This window comes from Homo sapiens, chromosome 14 (genome assembly GCF_000001405.40).
Source record: "Homo sapiens chromosome 14, GRCh38.p14 Primary Assembly".
Classification (NCBI taxonomy): domain Eukaryota; kingdom Metazoa; phylum Chordata; class Mammalia; order Primates; family Hominidae; genus Homo; species Homo sapiens.
This window is the reverse complement of record NC_000014.9, coordinates 27,123,529-27,140,010: the sequence shown is the minus strand read 5'-3', so window position 1 is coordinate 27,140,010 and position 16,482 is coordinate 27,123,529. Positions and strand designations below refer to the sequence as shown.

The following is a 16,482-nucleotide window of genomic DNA, read 5'->3' as shown; positions in this document are numbered from 1 at the left end:
CTGTTAGCCATCATGCTTTAAATGAAAATATTCTGGAACAGTCTTGAACTGACTGACTCCTAAGTCAGACAGCCTGTCAACATCTGAAAATCAATGTTATCAGTATCTCTTCTAGTGGGAGGATTACTTAACAGGGGTATCTCCACAGTCATCCTTGGCACACCTGGTCACAGGAACACATGATTTATACAGCTGCCCAGTAGGGGTTTATGCTGAGAGAGATTTTGGCAGATGAGGCATAAAATTTGAAAATATGCTGCCAGGAAGACTTGTAGTATGAAAACCCTGTGTTCTGCAAACATCAGCCTTCTGATTTTGTTAAGTCTTTACAGCTAAATAGAAAAGTAACGAAGTTGCAAAAAAGCATAAAAAGATGCTGGAAAATAAACAGATTAATAATAATGAGCTGGCAAAAACAAAGGCTCAACATTTATATATTTCATTGTATACTTCAGAAGTGAATAAACCTATTGGCCAAGATAATATTGGACAACAAGAGACACAAGTATGAAATTACGCACATGAAAACATGTTAGAGATAAATCCAGAAAACATGAACAATAGTATCTACACTGACTGTGCTCCACAAGTAAAATGGGAGTTAAAGATATAGGCATGGGCTATCAAGGAAATTCACCTGCCTCTGCTTCTCTTCGCACCTGAGGTGCTATGGGAAATTTGTTCTATTAAAAAAGAAAAACGGATAGAAGTCAAGAATTGGCTAATGTGTCTTCTATGCACATTCTGAATTCATTACTACTGTATCCAGTTACTGAATAATAACTTGAATTAGACTATCTACCTTGAAGAGAAGATTAATCAATTAAAAAAAAACTTACAGATATACCATGACCAGTTTCCTTTTTCAATTTAATATTACTTAGCTAGTAATGCCATTTTCTCTTTGGCATTAATATTTTTAGTACAAATTAATAAAGAATACTAATGTATTGAAATGTCTTATTTTGTCAACTCAAGACTAACAATATATATCCATATGTGCCTTATTACTTTCTCCCAAAACTTCACTATTCTATGTATTATTAAGAACACACATACATATTAGTAAGGACAATAGCTTTAGAATCTTATTTTAGGACCAAAATAGAAGACTATAATACATGCAAAAAAAAGACAAACATTAAATGTAACTATTTAATAGTCAAGTAAATAGCCTGTTTTGGTTGTGCCAAAGATATAGAAATTAACACTTTCAGTTACTTGTCAAAATAAAATGGTGAAGTTTGAGTCAACTCAGCAGCCTAGATGCCAGTTACTCCAGGAAACCTCCCAACATTTCATCAACAGCTGTGAGTGACATTTCACTTTTCTGATGTCTCAATTTATTCATACCTCTTTTATGAAAAAAAGTGTCTTTTAATCATTCCATATAATTCAACATGCGCTTTATCTCTTCAGCTCCTATAGAAATTTCTTACGGGCAGGAGCTTAGATGCTTTATTTTTAAAATTGCAATAATTTAATCAGTAATATTTTTAAATGAATGAATAGAGCAGTGCTATTCGGGTATTAAGGTACTGGTCAGTACTACACTTCTCTTCTAGGGCTCTGTATCAGCTTCTCCCAAGGTTGGTGATTATTGGAAGAATTTGGTTTCTTATGACTGTAGGACTGAGGTCCCTGTTTTTTTGTTTTGTTTTTGTTTTTTTTTGCTATATTGTCCTGTTCATATTTAAGCAAACAAAAAACATTGAATCCTTCTTGTGTTTCCAATTTCTCTTACTTCCCTTTATGTCTTACTCTTCTGTGTCTAAGGTATTTGGAAATTATACTGGGCCTCTGCTGCTGGATAATCCAGGGCAATCTTTCTGTTTTAAATTCAACTGATTAGTAAGTTTAATTACATCTGCAAAGTTATTTTACACATGTAAAATAACATACTTATAGTCTGGGAATTAAGAGGTAGAATCTTCTTGGGATACAATTCTCCTGTTGCACCCAGCTTGTCTGAAATGTCATCACCAAAGGTATATTTACTAGAATATGTAAGTATATTCTTTTATTAGACAAATATTCCTAAACATGCCAATATGGTCATGATTAACATTCACATTTCAGTGTGAATTTGTAAAGTCAGAATCTTACCTTTTAAAAACTCATATTTGCACTTTAGTAATGAGAAATGTAGAGATGAAAATATTAAGTGATGCTGTAATTTTATACCATAGACAACGATTTCCCTGTAGAAAATTATAGAGATCCCTGGGTGGAATACTTAAACCTGGCACTCTGGAAAGGGGTGCTAGAAAGTAGAATGAATTGGATAGAGTATATGACAAATCATAAAACAGCTTTCTTTCTTTCTTTTTTTTTTTTTTGAGATGGAATTTTTCTCTGTCACCCAGGCTAAAGTGCAGTGGTGCGATCTCGGCTCACTGCAACCTCAGCCTCCTGGGTTCAAGCGATTCTTCCGCCTCAGCCTCCCAAGTAGCTGGGACTACAGTCACGTGCCTCCACATCCGGTTAATTTTTGTATTTTTAGTAAAGACGAGGTTTCACCATATTGGCCAGGCTGGTCACGAACTCCTGACCTTGTGATCCGCCCACCTCGGCCTCCCAAAGTAAAACAGCTTTCTTATAGGCTGGGAGTTATAGTACTGAGCTAGCTACATTAACCGGATCTTAGATTGACCCCCTCCTTTATCAATTACTCAAACATCCACCCCCCCCCTCCCCACCCACCACCCCCCCCCCCCACATAAACGTCTGCATAGAAATACAAGACAATATCCTGGAGAGTTTCTGGAGTTGAGAGACTTGTTTTTTTGTTTGTTTGTTTGTTTGTTTTTCTCTTGCAGCACTGTAAAGTATTTTCATAAAATAACAATAGAGGTAAAAGGGCATTTTGAATAGAAGGAAAGGTACAATATATAATTATTTCCAATGGTTTTAAAAAAAACTCCTTAACTAACAGGAATAACCTTGCCTATTCAGTTACTGAATTGTATATTTAAAGAAAGAAATAATTTTCTCTGGTTCCAGTATTGAGTCCATGATAATCCAATCATAACCTGACAGGGAGTAAAACCAATTTCTATTTCGCTTTACTGCACCATAGTATCTAATCTTTTTCTATTGATGGTTATTCCGTGCAATTTTCATTAGAAGAGTTTTAAACATCAGACGTCACACTTGGAGGCTGCAGCAGATTCATAGCAACTCTTTCATATCTGGTCACTTCATAATTAGGTTATAACTTTACAAGAAAGCACATACAAGGCACTGGGTCACAGCTTTAAAGTTATAGAACGAATAAAATCACCCAGGGTGTACCATTATTTTGAAATGACTTATAAGCAGTTTCATTTTATTGCCAAACATTTTTATAATTCCTTTTCCAAAGACAAATGTGCTTAGCTTGATTTGTGTTTGTCTTTGCATTTAATCATGTTTGCAGTCATTTTTTGAATTTACAATTAATCCTTTCTACATTTATGTAACACTATCCTAAACTTTTTTCCCTCTAAATTTATCTTAGTGGGTGATTGCTTATTACATTTTTATAATGTAGTAATTACTATATATACATAGTGCTTTGAGCATCCTGACAGAAGGTATTTTATAATTATATTATTTAATTGCTCAAACATTTGCAAATAACACATTCATAAAGTCTAAAACATGTAAACATGACACAGATTCTAGTGCTATTCAGAAAACCACTAGATCGGAAATACTTTATGTAAACATAAATTAGCATTTTACACACTCCTGGCCAAACTACATGAGACCTGGGCCTGAATTTAGTTACCTACCCTCAGGCAGCTAGTAGCAAGATGCTGGTATATCCATACAGAGTGCAGCAATAGACTTATGAGGCAAAAGTGTATGGTTTATTGTTGTTGGCTATTGTTTTTTCTGAAGAAAAATAATGAAAATCGAAGTCTTAGAAAAACAATGGGGATGATAATGAGAAAACTGAGACCTAGTTGTCGTTCTTCCACTTACTAAGCACACGAGCACATCACTTAGCCTCTAGGTTTCTCTTTAGCATGTGTGAAAAAGTGAGGCTGAGCTACAGCTGCACCTTGGTACTTTCTAGTTTGGGAATTAGAGGAGTTTATGGATTGATATGTGTTCTCCCTGTCCGTAAGCTATTGTCCTGTTGTAAAACTGGCAGCTTGGAAGACAAATTAACCGTATTAGTCAGTATTCTCCAGAGAAACAGAACTAATAGGACAGAGATAGATATCAGGACTGTGAATATGATTTTTTTTTAAGTTTCAATAGCTTTAGGGGTACAAATGGTTCTTGGTTACATGGATAAATTGTATAGTGGTGAAGTTTGGGCCTTCAGTGTACCTGTCACCTGAATAGTATACACTGTACCTAGTAGGTGATTTTTCATCCCTCACCCCCCTCACTCTCTCCCCTTCTGAGTCTCCAAAATCCATTATAACATTCTGTATGCCTTTGCATAACCACAGCATAACTCCCACTTATGAGTGAGAATATGCAATATTTAGTTTACCCTTCCTGAGTTACTTCGCTTAGGAAAATGGCCTCCCATCCCATGCAAGTTGCTACAAAAGACATTATTTCATTCCTTTTTATGGCTAAGTCATATTCCATGGTGTGTGTATGTGGGTGTGTGTGTATATATATATCACATTTTGTTTATCCATTCATTGGTTGATGGGCACTAGGGTTGACTCCATATCTTTGCAATTGTGAACTGTGCATGTGAGTGCAGATATCTTTTCTATATAATGACTTTCTTTTCCTTTGGGTAGATACCCAGTAGTGGAATTGCTAGATTGAATAGTAGATCTTCTATTGGTTGTTTGACAAATCTTCATACTGCTTTTCATAGAGGTCGTATTAATTTACATTCCCAACAACAGCGTATGACATTTCCACCAACAGTGTGTATGCATTCCCTTTTCACTGTACCCATGCCAATACTTACTGTTTTTTCACTTTTCAGTGAAAGTCATTCTGACTAGGGAAAGGTGGTATCTCATTATGGTTTTATTTTGTATTTCCCTAAGATTAGTGATGTTGAACATTTTGTCATATATTTTTGACCAATTCAAAATCTTATTTTGATAAATGTCTCTTTATGTCATTTGCTCACTTTTTAATGGGAATAGTTGTTTTTTCTTGCAGATTTGTTTGAACCCGTTGTTGATATTTGCCTTTTGTCAGATGTATAGTTTGTGATATTTTTCCCATTCCGTAGGTTGTCTATTTATTCTCATGATCATTTCTTTTGATGTGCAGAAGCTTGTTAGTTTAATTACTTCCCGTTATTTTTAGTTTTGTTGCATCTGACTTTGGGGTCTTAGTTATCAATTCTTTGGCTAGGCAACATCCAGAAGAATTTTTTCTAGGTTTTCTTCTAGAACTTTTATGACTTCAGATCTTACATTTAATTCTTTACTCCATATTGAGTTTATTTTTGTATATGGTAAGTGATATGGATCCAGCCTCATTCTTCTGCATGTGGCTATCTAATTTTCCAATAACTGATGAAACAGAATGAACATAGCAAAGTTCACAAAAAGGCACAAGATAACAGTAGATAAGACAGCAATTCCCTTCAGTGGGAAAAAAGAAGTCTAAAAAGGTTACGAGCCTAGCAACAATGATCACGTGGTCTGAGAGTTTGGATGAAACATAAATCATTTTATTAATCATATTATCAATAATATTAAACTATGATAGTGATTAATTGAATGTTCATACTGTTAAAGGCTTTCTATGCAACTGCACAACTAGGCAGTCTTCACTCTTCATATGCAAGCCCAGCATTGACAGAGATACTGGTTACTTCCAGACCAAAGCTGAAGAACTGCTCCCCAAAGAAACTGAACAATATATATGGGAGAACTAGGGATCCTGGTGGAAGTATTAACCCATCAGAATTTTTCCATTTATTAGTTTTAATGTATTTTTTTACTTTCGGAAACTACGGTGAAAACTAGCTTGTCTATCTGCTTCTTACTCACATGCCATTACAGGAAATGCTGAGAGGTAGTCCTCCTATCCAAAGTAGAAAAATATTGGGGGAAGCTGACCTACAGAAAAACAAAGAAAACCAGTATCAGCCATGTATAATATGATAAATACTTGGAGATGTCCCTCAGTCAAACATTAAAAGTAACCCATTAATGTGTACAACATAACATCAAAGAAACAGCTGGCATCATCTCTACATATAATAAAAAATATTCCTGGATGGGAATAGGCAGCCTACAAAGAAATCAGTCTACATTGGAAGCAAGACAGAAGGTACCTAGAAAAATTTTACATATTTAAAATTTTTGTCTGTAGTTGTCTTTTTTTTTTTTTTTCATTCAGCATCTGAACCTCCTATAATACTTCATTTGAGAAATCTGTTACTATGTGATTCTTGGGGTAATTAGCAATTTATCCACAATTCTACAAGTCATTCTACTGGTAGTGATATAGTATATTATCCAGTAGTATCAGTGTCATCAATGATATCTGTTGTCCAATTAGCAAATGAATGGTTAAAGAAAATGTGTTATACACAATGAAATAATGTTCACCCATAAAATCAATGAAATCTTGCCATTTGTGACAACATAGATGAATCTAGAGAACACTAAATTAACTGGAATAAGTCAGGCACAAAAATAGAAATACCACATGATCTCACTCCTATGTGGAAGTTTTAAAAGTTGAGCTCATAGATGTAGAGAGTAAAATACAAGTTATCTGAGTCAGGGGAGGGTAAGGAGAAGGGGGATGGGAGAAGTAGGACAGCAGGTACAATGTTACAGTTAGATATGAGAAAAGCCTTCTGCGTTCCAATGCACAGTAGGATGACTATAATTTACAATTACATATTGTGTATTTCAAAAAAGCTAGAAGAGAGAAATTTAAATGTTCTTACCATAAGGAACTGATACATGTTTGAGGTGACAGAAATACTAATTACCCTGACTTGATCATTATACAAGTTAGCCATGTATCACAACATCACACTATACTTTATAAATATGTACAATCAAAAATAAAATAAAAAACAAGTCTTTTTAACAAATGTTGCTAGAGCATTTGAATATCCATATGCAAATTTAAAAATTAAAAATAAAATACCTTGGTGTAGGCCTTTTACTTTATATAATAATTTACTCAAAACAGATGACATATTTAAATGTAAAATGTAAAACTCGAAACTTCTAAAGGAAAACATAAGAGATAGTTTTAGTGAACTTTGAATCAGAAAAGTGTTCTTAGATATGATACCAAAAGTATGATTCCCCAAAGAAAATATTGATAGATGGCACTTTACCAAAATTAATTTTTTTTCTGTGAAAACACTGTTAAGAGAATTAAAAGACAAGCTATATACTGGAGAAAGATATTTACAAAGGTGGTGTCTCCCAAGGAACTTTTTATCCATAGTATAAAAAGAACTCTAAAAACTCACAAAAACCACCCAATGAAAAAATGAGCACAATTTTGAATAGAGACTCACCAAAGAAGATATATCAGTGGCAAATCAGCATATGAAAAGGTGTTTGATATGATTAGTCATTGGGATAATACAAATTAAAGGCATAAGGAGATAACAATAGACACCTATTAGATTGGTAAACAACAATAACTGAAAGAATAACCTGACAAAGCTACATTTGGTGGCAAGTTTACAGAGCAGCCAGAAATTTCGTACATTGCTGGTAAGAATGCAAAAATGATACAGCCAAGAGTTTAGCATTTTCTTATTAAACTAAACATATACTTACGTTATGATGCCATGAGTTTTCTCCCTAGGAGTTTACCCAAAAGAAATAACACTTTAATTCATTAAAATTTTTATAGGGATTTTTAAAGTAGCTTAATTTATAAGCTCCAAAAATAAAAAAAAAAAAAACAACTAGATGCCCTTCAGCCAGTGTAAAGAAAAACAGACCCTGATGAATCCATGCAGTGAATACTACTCAGCAATAAGAAGGAGCAAATGACTGATACAAGTAATAATAAACATGAATTTCAAATGAATTATGATAAGGGAAAGAAGCCAGGCTCAAAGGGCTACGTCGTGCAAAATTCCATTTGTATAACATACTGAAAAAGACGAAACTATAGGGAACGAGAACAAATGATTGATAGATGCCAGGTTTTAGAAACCGGGGAAAGGGTTGATTACAAAGGGACAGTACTAGGGCATGTTCTAGGTGAGGGATTGCCCCATACTTTTCTTATTGTGGTATACACAACTCTATGCCTTTGTCAAAACTCGTAGAAGAACTGTATATCCCAAAGAGTGAATTTCACTGCATGTAAAGTTAAAATACATAAATTAAAATTAACAGGGGAATTTTCAAGCATAGTACATAAATGATTAAATGTTATCGATGATGAGAGCAAGAAAAACTGATGTGGAAATAGTAGAATAAGAAGTCAACAGAGGTTGTATACACTTGATTTAGAATGAGAAACAATATGGATGGAGCTACATGAACTAACGCAGGAACAGAAAACCAAATACCACGTGTTCTCAACTATAAGTGGTAGCTAAACATTGAGTACATTATGAACACAAAGAAGAGAACAATAGACACCAGGGCGTGTTTAAGGAAGGGAGGAAGCTGAGGATCGAATGACCACCTATTGGGTACTATGCTTATTACCTGGATGGCGAAGTAATCTGTACACCAAACTCCTGTGACATTCAATTTACCTATAACTAACCCACACATGTACCCCTGAGCCCAAAATAAAACTTTAAAAATATATACCTATATTATTTAGAAATATTGAAGTAGTCGAGAATTAAGAAAGAAAAATAGCATTCCCTGAGGTCTTATGGGACAAGTTTTGTACTTACCCCATCGGTCATGATTGAATTTTTAAAGTATGCACATATAGCTTTTAGTAAAAATCAACTATGTAGTGTTTATGTTTTATAAATACATTTACAAAAATTATATTGAGTTAATGTAAGGGTAGATAACACAGTAAATTGATCCTATTTAATGATGTGACTTTAGTAATTTTTATATAATCCTTCTGTGGTCTTCGCAATGTGTGAAGATAAAGAAACTATCTTGTTTTTTGTTTAAAGTTGATTTCTGTATCTGTTAGACCCTAGATCACAATGACTTTATGAATATTGTGAGTAAAGCAAACAGACAATTGAAGCCATACCCCTTACAGACCTATATTTCAGTCCTGTGTTTGTCAGCGTGTGTTCCCTGCTCTTTTCCAACGTGCAAAGTAGTCTATCTGGTCACTTGGGGAAATTCTAACAAGCAGTAATTAATCAACTAAAAGATATGTGTCTCATGTAATTACTATATGACATAAAACTCTGAATACAGCAAAAACATTATGGATCCTACTAGACAGGGCAGAGATCTCAGTAGGAGGCTGGTAATACAAGCTGCTGCTTGGAAGCATAGAAGACATCTTTGTCCAAGCTGTTTAGTACATTTTGAAACTCTCAGGAAACCCTAGTATTATTCTGGGCCTGATAAACATGTTCTTGCCCTTTTTAAATGTAGTACTATTTTTCTCCTAGCAAAGATAGTTTACCTTATAAGTTATTATTACATAATATACCACCATCATGACAAAAGCTTAGGAAACTTTCTATATTTCTTTGGTATTTATTTACAACCCTGTGAAAACCAACTTGCTGGTGACTTTCATGCTTTCAAAGCAAAAATTACCTAGTGATTCTTCAAAAGATAGCACAAACTCCTAAAAAGCAAGCATTATAAGACCTGGTGATTTAAAATCATTGATCTTGTTATAAAAACTTCAATTCTATTTTAGGGAAGGTATTTTTTCTCATAATTTGACATGTATTTCTACATTTAGCACAGTTTCTGCATATATTTGCTAAATTCAGTTAATTTTATGATAAATCCAGAAGGAGGATCCCAAGTGCGTCATTACACAAAAATAATATTTATTGAGAAATAATACACAGTCACCTTTATCCTATTTCTTATGGGGTAAGGTATGCTGATTAATATATCAGTGTTCCAAACACGTCTTTTTATCCTGAACAACAGTGCCATAATAAACCAGAGATGGAAAGCTTATTGAGGGTGAGAGAAGAATTACATTTCAGTAAAGAAATAGATTTCATTTTAAGTACCCACGGGGTTATTTTACAAAAATAATTAAAATAAATTTTAAGAAAAATACTGCTTGGCAATGGCCTTTATGTCTAGAATATTGTTTTCTCAATATAACCCCTATTGAGGCAAAAGTAATATTAACAAATGATAAAGTTTTGCTATAATTCTTAGTATTTTAATAAACACAGTTATAACATGCCAAGTAAATTAAACTCCTTAATCTTTTCCCCCTATTTTATTTTAACACTGCAATGCTGTACTTGGAAAATGATCATTCCACAAACAAAGTCACTAATCATCCAAGACTGATTAAAGAGAAAAAGTTTTCTTAATTCCTGTGACCCCTAAGCTGAAGTCTTTGAATAGGAGATTAAAACTTAATTATCTGATGTACAAGTTCAATGTTATCAATCTGGCCTCTTTACCACTTTGCAAGTGTAAATTGCTTGGGTAAAATAGGTGAATGGTCTCTCCTTTTCTTTTTTAAATAGTTCACATTTTCAATTTCCAGATGAAAAATAATACCTTGACTAAATGCTAATTATACTTTTCTGCTGACAAAGATAGAATAAACCAAGAGATTACCTAGAATACTAAGGGGATAGCAGTATGCATAAATCAATACTGCCTCTACCCATATTACTAATCTTCTTTAGACATAAAACACAAAGGTTTTTGAAAAACGTAGACCACTTTGAGATAAGGTTTAAAGTGCTCTCTCAATTTTAAAATATACTTTCCTTTACTAAACAATTTTAGGCTAAACTATTTTAAGTATAAATAATAAACTGAAGGAAAAAAACAAAAGCCAGGACCTCCTCTGTACACCCCCACTACTGTCCACCTAGTACTGTTTCATATAGGTAACCACATCAGTTTCATGTATGAACTTCCAGAAATAGTATATGCATACACAAATGTTATTTCACTGAAATTTTAACATGAAACTACATCTTGTATTTTTTTCTTGAAATACAGTATATATACCGATCCATATGAATGCATATGGAGTTGGTATGTTAGAATATTATGTAAATGTTTTCTGACTTATTTAAATTGTTGCTTATGATACGTCCAGAAACAACGAAGGCCCAGTCCACCTTGTGTTCTTGCTTATGGTGACGTCCCTTTCCAGGTCATTTGAATTCTTCCCTGACAGCCGAGTAAAAGAAAACAGGGTCTCATGCCAAGTTGCTTGAGTTCAAATTTTAGCGCCACCAGTTTCCACCATGTAAAATTTATGTAAATTATTACAAATTGATGTAAGAATCCATTTATATTTCTGTAAAAATGCTATAATTATATCTCAAATTTTATAAATTAGAGAAGTCATGAAAAATATTTACCACACTTCCTGGCAAGTTTTAAGTGTTCTATAAATAAGATGTGAATATTAATGCCCTTGCTTTCAGGAGCCTTCTGAAACATGAGATAAATTCATCGTCACATATGAAGTTTTAAGTATGTCCTCTAATAGTATGTATGGCTCTGGCCATGATCGTTTGAGTGGATCTACAGAATGGATCCTTTTCCATTCCTCCCCTTACAGTAGACAGATATTTTTCTCTAACACCTGCCTAAGTACAAGGAGCAGGTAGGTAAGTGTTGTCCCAACACTGAAGTACTACTACAAAAATGACTGGACCCTCTTCACATTAAAAGCAGTAAGTTGCAGTATATCTTAAATTGCAGACTCAAACTACAAGACCCCATATGTCTGTAAGTAGTCTTTATACAAATATATTACTCTACGTAGGTCAAGGGCTCCAACTGCCTGGCACACATTCAGATGACTTTTATGTATATCAGTTAACACCTTCTCTCTTCCTGCTCTGTGGATGCAATGGTGCTCTGTAAAGTGACGTGTCACTCCCTTATCTCTAGAACTGAATAGTCAATTCCTTACTGTGCTAGCATTTGACTGCTCTATGAGTAAATGGGTGTGGGCATTGTGACCACCATTCCCTTCCGTATGCATATCCAACCAAGCAAAGATACAATGAATCTAGATCTCTTGTTCCCTGAGCAGTCTCAGTTCCTGTGTGGCATTTATGTTTGAATGTCTCATAGTATCTTATTTATTTATTTACTTATAATATCCATGCCTAAGGTGGCTATTATCCATGTGTAAAGTGGCTATTATTATTGTCCCACTATTACAGAAAAAAGAATCAAAAGTTTAAAAAGCACAGGTAACTTCCTTAAGGTCCAAAATCATTAAGTGGCAGAGCTAGTACTCAAACAGAGGTTCCGCTGACTTCAGGTCCATATTTTTCCACCACAAAACATTGTCTCCCATAAATAAGTAAAGAAGTTCCATGTGAAACTGATTAAATTCTGCAAGAACAAAATTAACTAAACCAGATTTTGTTTTCTTTTCTACAATGAAAAAAAAAACCTGTATGTACAGGGAATATAAATATTATATTATGCTTGGCACTATGATAAAATGTAAAACACGAAAACTGTTGACACATTTTCAAAGCTATCAGTCAGGGAGGTAACCAGGCAGTGGTTTACAGACCAAACTTAGGCCTGCAAACACTTGAGGATTCCCTTACGAAAATGAATGTAGATGGCAACACAAGAATATTTACATGAAGTGATGGAGGTAATAAAATTAGCACATTAAAGCCAAAGTAACTAATATCTTTTAGAACCTCTCTATTAGAATATTGTTTTCACCCAAAATGGTTTATAGATTGTGCTAATAAATACGTACATTTTTTTAAAGTATCACTTTTGCTCTGTTATCTACAGAAAACATGCACAAGGGCTAGTGCCCAGTTAAGATCACCCTTCCAGGCCATTGGACAAAATGAATTCAATGTATGAACTTGTTCTTACTAGAGCTTTGCTTCAAATTAGTGATTCCAAGCTGTGGTCTAACTCTAACAATAGTAATGTACAATGTTCAAATTGCCTTCACATTAGTTTACTCATTTTATTCACACACAAAAAAACTTTTATTTTGAGTGATTATACTACTAATCACTTTTTTAAAAAGATAATAGCATTGGGCTGGGCACCAGGGCTCACGCCTGTAATCCCAGCACTTTGGGAGGCCGAGGCGGGTGGATCACAAGGTCAGGAATTCAGGACCAGCATGGCCAACTTGGTGAAACCTTGTCTCTACTAAAAACACAAAAATTAGCCGGGCATGGTGGTGGGTGCTTGTAGTCCCAGCTACTCGGGAGGCTGAGGCAGAGAATTGCTTGAACCCAGGAGGAGGAGTTTGCAGTGAGCTGAGATTGCACCACTGCATTGCAGCCTGGAAGACAGAGCAAGACTCTGTCTCAAAAAAATAATAATAAAATAAAATAAATAAAGATAATAGCGTTGAATTTGAGGTTAATGAATTTGCCCAACAATTCGTCTGTCCATTTTTGAGAAAGAACAGAATTTCTTAACCCTTAGCCAAGTGTTCTTCTAGTGATAATGGCAATGATAGTGACAGAACAGGAACATCTGCACAATAATACTATCAATGACAATAGCAGTATCAGTAGCCTTGCATTTCTAAATATATATGTGAAATTTCTGTGTCATGGTCTTAATAAGGATATTACCTCACCTAAACCTCATAAACAATGTTACGAAATGAAAATTATCTTACACAAATCATAAAACTCAGTCTGGGAGGGGTTTAATAACAATCCTAGATCACATAGCTAGTAAGTGCCAGTGTAACACGTTATGTTTCACAGGTAGTACTGTTTATCAGAGATCTAATTTATAGTTTAGCCCATGTGCTGGTCTCCACTCATTTTGTTGTTCAAAACGGGATAATGTTCATGCTCTATTTAAGACATGAACAACTATCTCATTATTTTAGCTATAAACTCTGATATCATTATTCTCTAAATAACATAGATTATTAGTTTACCACTATTAAGGATGAGGGAGGTGCTTTAATGTGGATATTTTGGAGCATTCCCTCATCGGATGATAGTAACAAATGAATGTGAGTTTTTTTTTTTTTCTTTAAAGGCATAATAACACTTTTTTCTTCATCGCCACAGGGTCCATTCTCTTTGTATTTCTCTCCATATTTCTTCAGGTCTTACCTTCTTTCTTTCTCCCATGATCTCTCAGCACAGGTCACTGATATAGCCAATTGCAAATACCCATCTCCATCACAGTTCATTCAACAAACAATTGTTAAGAAATGAAAATACTTCAGTACTTTGTTAAGTGCAATGTATATAGAGATAAATGAAATGAACATGACATCTCTCCTTACAGATACAAGCATTTACATAAGGACATTGATATTAAGCAAATGCATTAATAATTGTGTTATGGCCAAAAAGAAGGATGAGAAAAAAACAAGATGCAGGATGATACGTGACCTTTCACAAAAGAGGCTCATGTAAACAGTAGTCTCAAGAAAGGTCTCCCTGACAAAGTAATTTTTGGCTGAAATTTGAAAAGTAAGTAGGAATTATGCATACAAATAAGGTAGGAAACTTGTCCAATGGTCCTGTGGGAGGAAGGTACTGAATAAGGGAACCAAAGGTGAAATTTAGTAAGGAAGGATGACAGTCCACTAGAATAATGAATTAATCAAGAGCTATATACACCTTATTCATGATATTCACTCTCTTCTATGATTAAAATAGATGATTGAAAGACTGTAAGCAGGGAAATATTTTCTTTCTAAAAACTGACCCTGTGGTAGATGGAGAAATAATAGATTGGGTCTCCAATATAGTCCCAAGACTATATTTGAGGAGACTGGTTATAAAACAGTTACCAAATACCTAGTAAGACATGCTGGTAGCTAAAATTGGAATTGTCTCAATCGATATTTGAGAAATAGAGCACATGTTTGATATAGATTTGAGGGGTTTAGTCTGCACTATTGGTAATTTATCAGAAGGGTGAAGGAGCAGGAAGACTCAAGAGGAAATTCAAGTACAAAATTGGATACAAATTTTTGAGCTTTCAGAAGGATTAGAAATCAAATTTAAAACATGTTCAGTCTAAGATACCAAAGAGAAGTGAGGGAGTTCAGAAACAAAACTATCTGAAACAGAAGACAAACATAGATAACCAAATAGTGGTATATTTATAGTACTCAGCAATTACAGGCAACAAACATTTGGTGCATGCAGAAAAATGAATGAATCTTTAAAATGTTATGCTAAGCAAAAGTAGTTAGACACAAATCACCAAATTATGATTCCACATATATGAATATCTAGGATAGATAAAATGAATCTCTAGTAATAAAAATCAAATGAGTAGTCACCTAGGGTAGAAAGGCATGAGGGTAGGGGGGTGAGGAAGACAGTTAAGGGGCAATAGGAAGCTTTATGGGATGTGGAAATTACCTAAATCTGGATTAAAGTGATGGTTAAAATTGTGTATATATGTATCAACATTGAACTGTACAGTGAAAATGGATGCATTCTATTATACACAATATATAGCAATAAAGTTGATTTTTAAAAGACAAATATATGCTATCAGCTAATTTAATGCTTTGCACTTTTTCCCAGAAGTTAAAAAAGAATCAATCAATTTTAAGATAGGGCAAATAATAGTGTTTCAGAAATTGAGGCTTTGCTCCTAGCAATAATACTCACAAATAACACATAAAGTACAAATGTATGGTCTTACTGAATGTGCTGGATTTGAACTGCTCTTACACTCCCACTTAAATCCCAAAGTGGCATTTTGGGAGGCCGAGGTGGGTGGATCGCCTGAGGTCAGGAGTTTGAGGCCAGCCTGGCCAACATGGCTAAACCCTGTCTCTACTAAAAATAGAGAAATTTAGCGGGGTGTGGTGGTGTACGCTGGTAGTCCCAGCTACTAGGGAGGCTGAGGGAGGAGAATTGCTTGAACTAGTGAGACAGAGGTTTCATTGAGCCCAGATTGGACCACTGCTCTCCAGCCTGGGTGATAGAGTGAGACTCCGTGCCAAAGGAAAAACAAAGTGATTATCTTACTGATTATAATGATGATCATGATCATATTTCTGATTGTTGGATATAATTGAATAATCTTGTTGCTAGGACTGTAGTAAATGATCTTTATTAAAAATGCTTAAAAGTTGTTTTTTATACATAATTCGTCACTCAAATTATCTGCTTACTAACTCTCAAAAATATTCCCTATATTTACAATTGTTTCAATTCAGATCAGATTAACAGTTTCACGTGTGTGACACAGTGGAACTTCCAGTATTTTACTGCCTCACTGGAGGCTTACAATGATTTTCATGTACAGGTATCACAGCAGATAATTTTATGACCTTTTAACTAATATCTTAAATTTACTTCATCTGTGATTAATAGTTACAATGATATATCAATTTTAACATTGGAGCAGTACCCCTTAAAGCATTTTGGTGAGTTAAAACTGGATACTATTTCAGTTGGAATATTTAGCA

At 34.4% G+C, this 16,482-nt stretch overlaps 1 long non-coding RNA gene across 2 annotated transcripts in view; it reads right to left on the bottom strand.

The window, feature by feature from the left end:
• Window positions 1-16,482, bottom strand: part of LOC105370420 (uncharacterized) — a 129,914-nt gene that overhangs the window by 67,139 nt on the left and 46,293 nt on the right. For both annotated transcript variants that reach the window (XR_943662.3, XR_001750686.2), the window contains one exon: window positions 5,973-6,041. This is a non-coding gene — a long non-coding RNA (uncharacterized LOC105370420). The remainder of the gene's footprint in view (window positions 1-5,972; window positions 6,042-16,482) is intronic.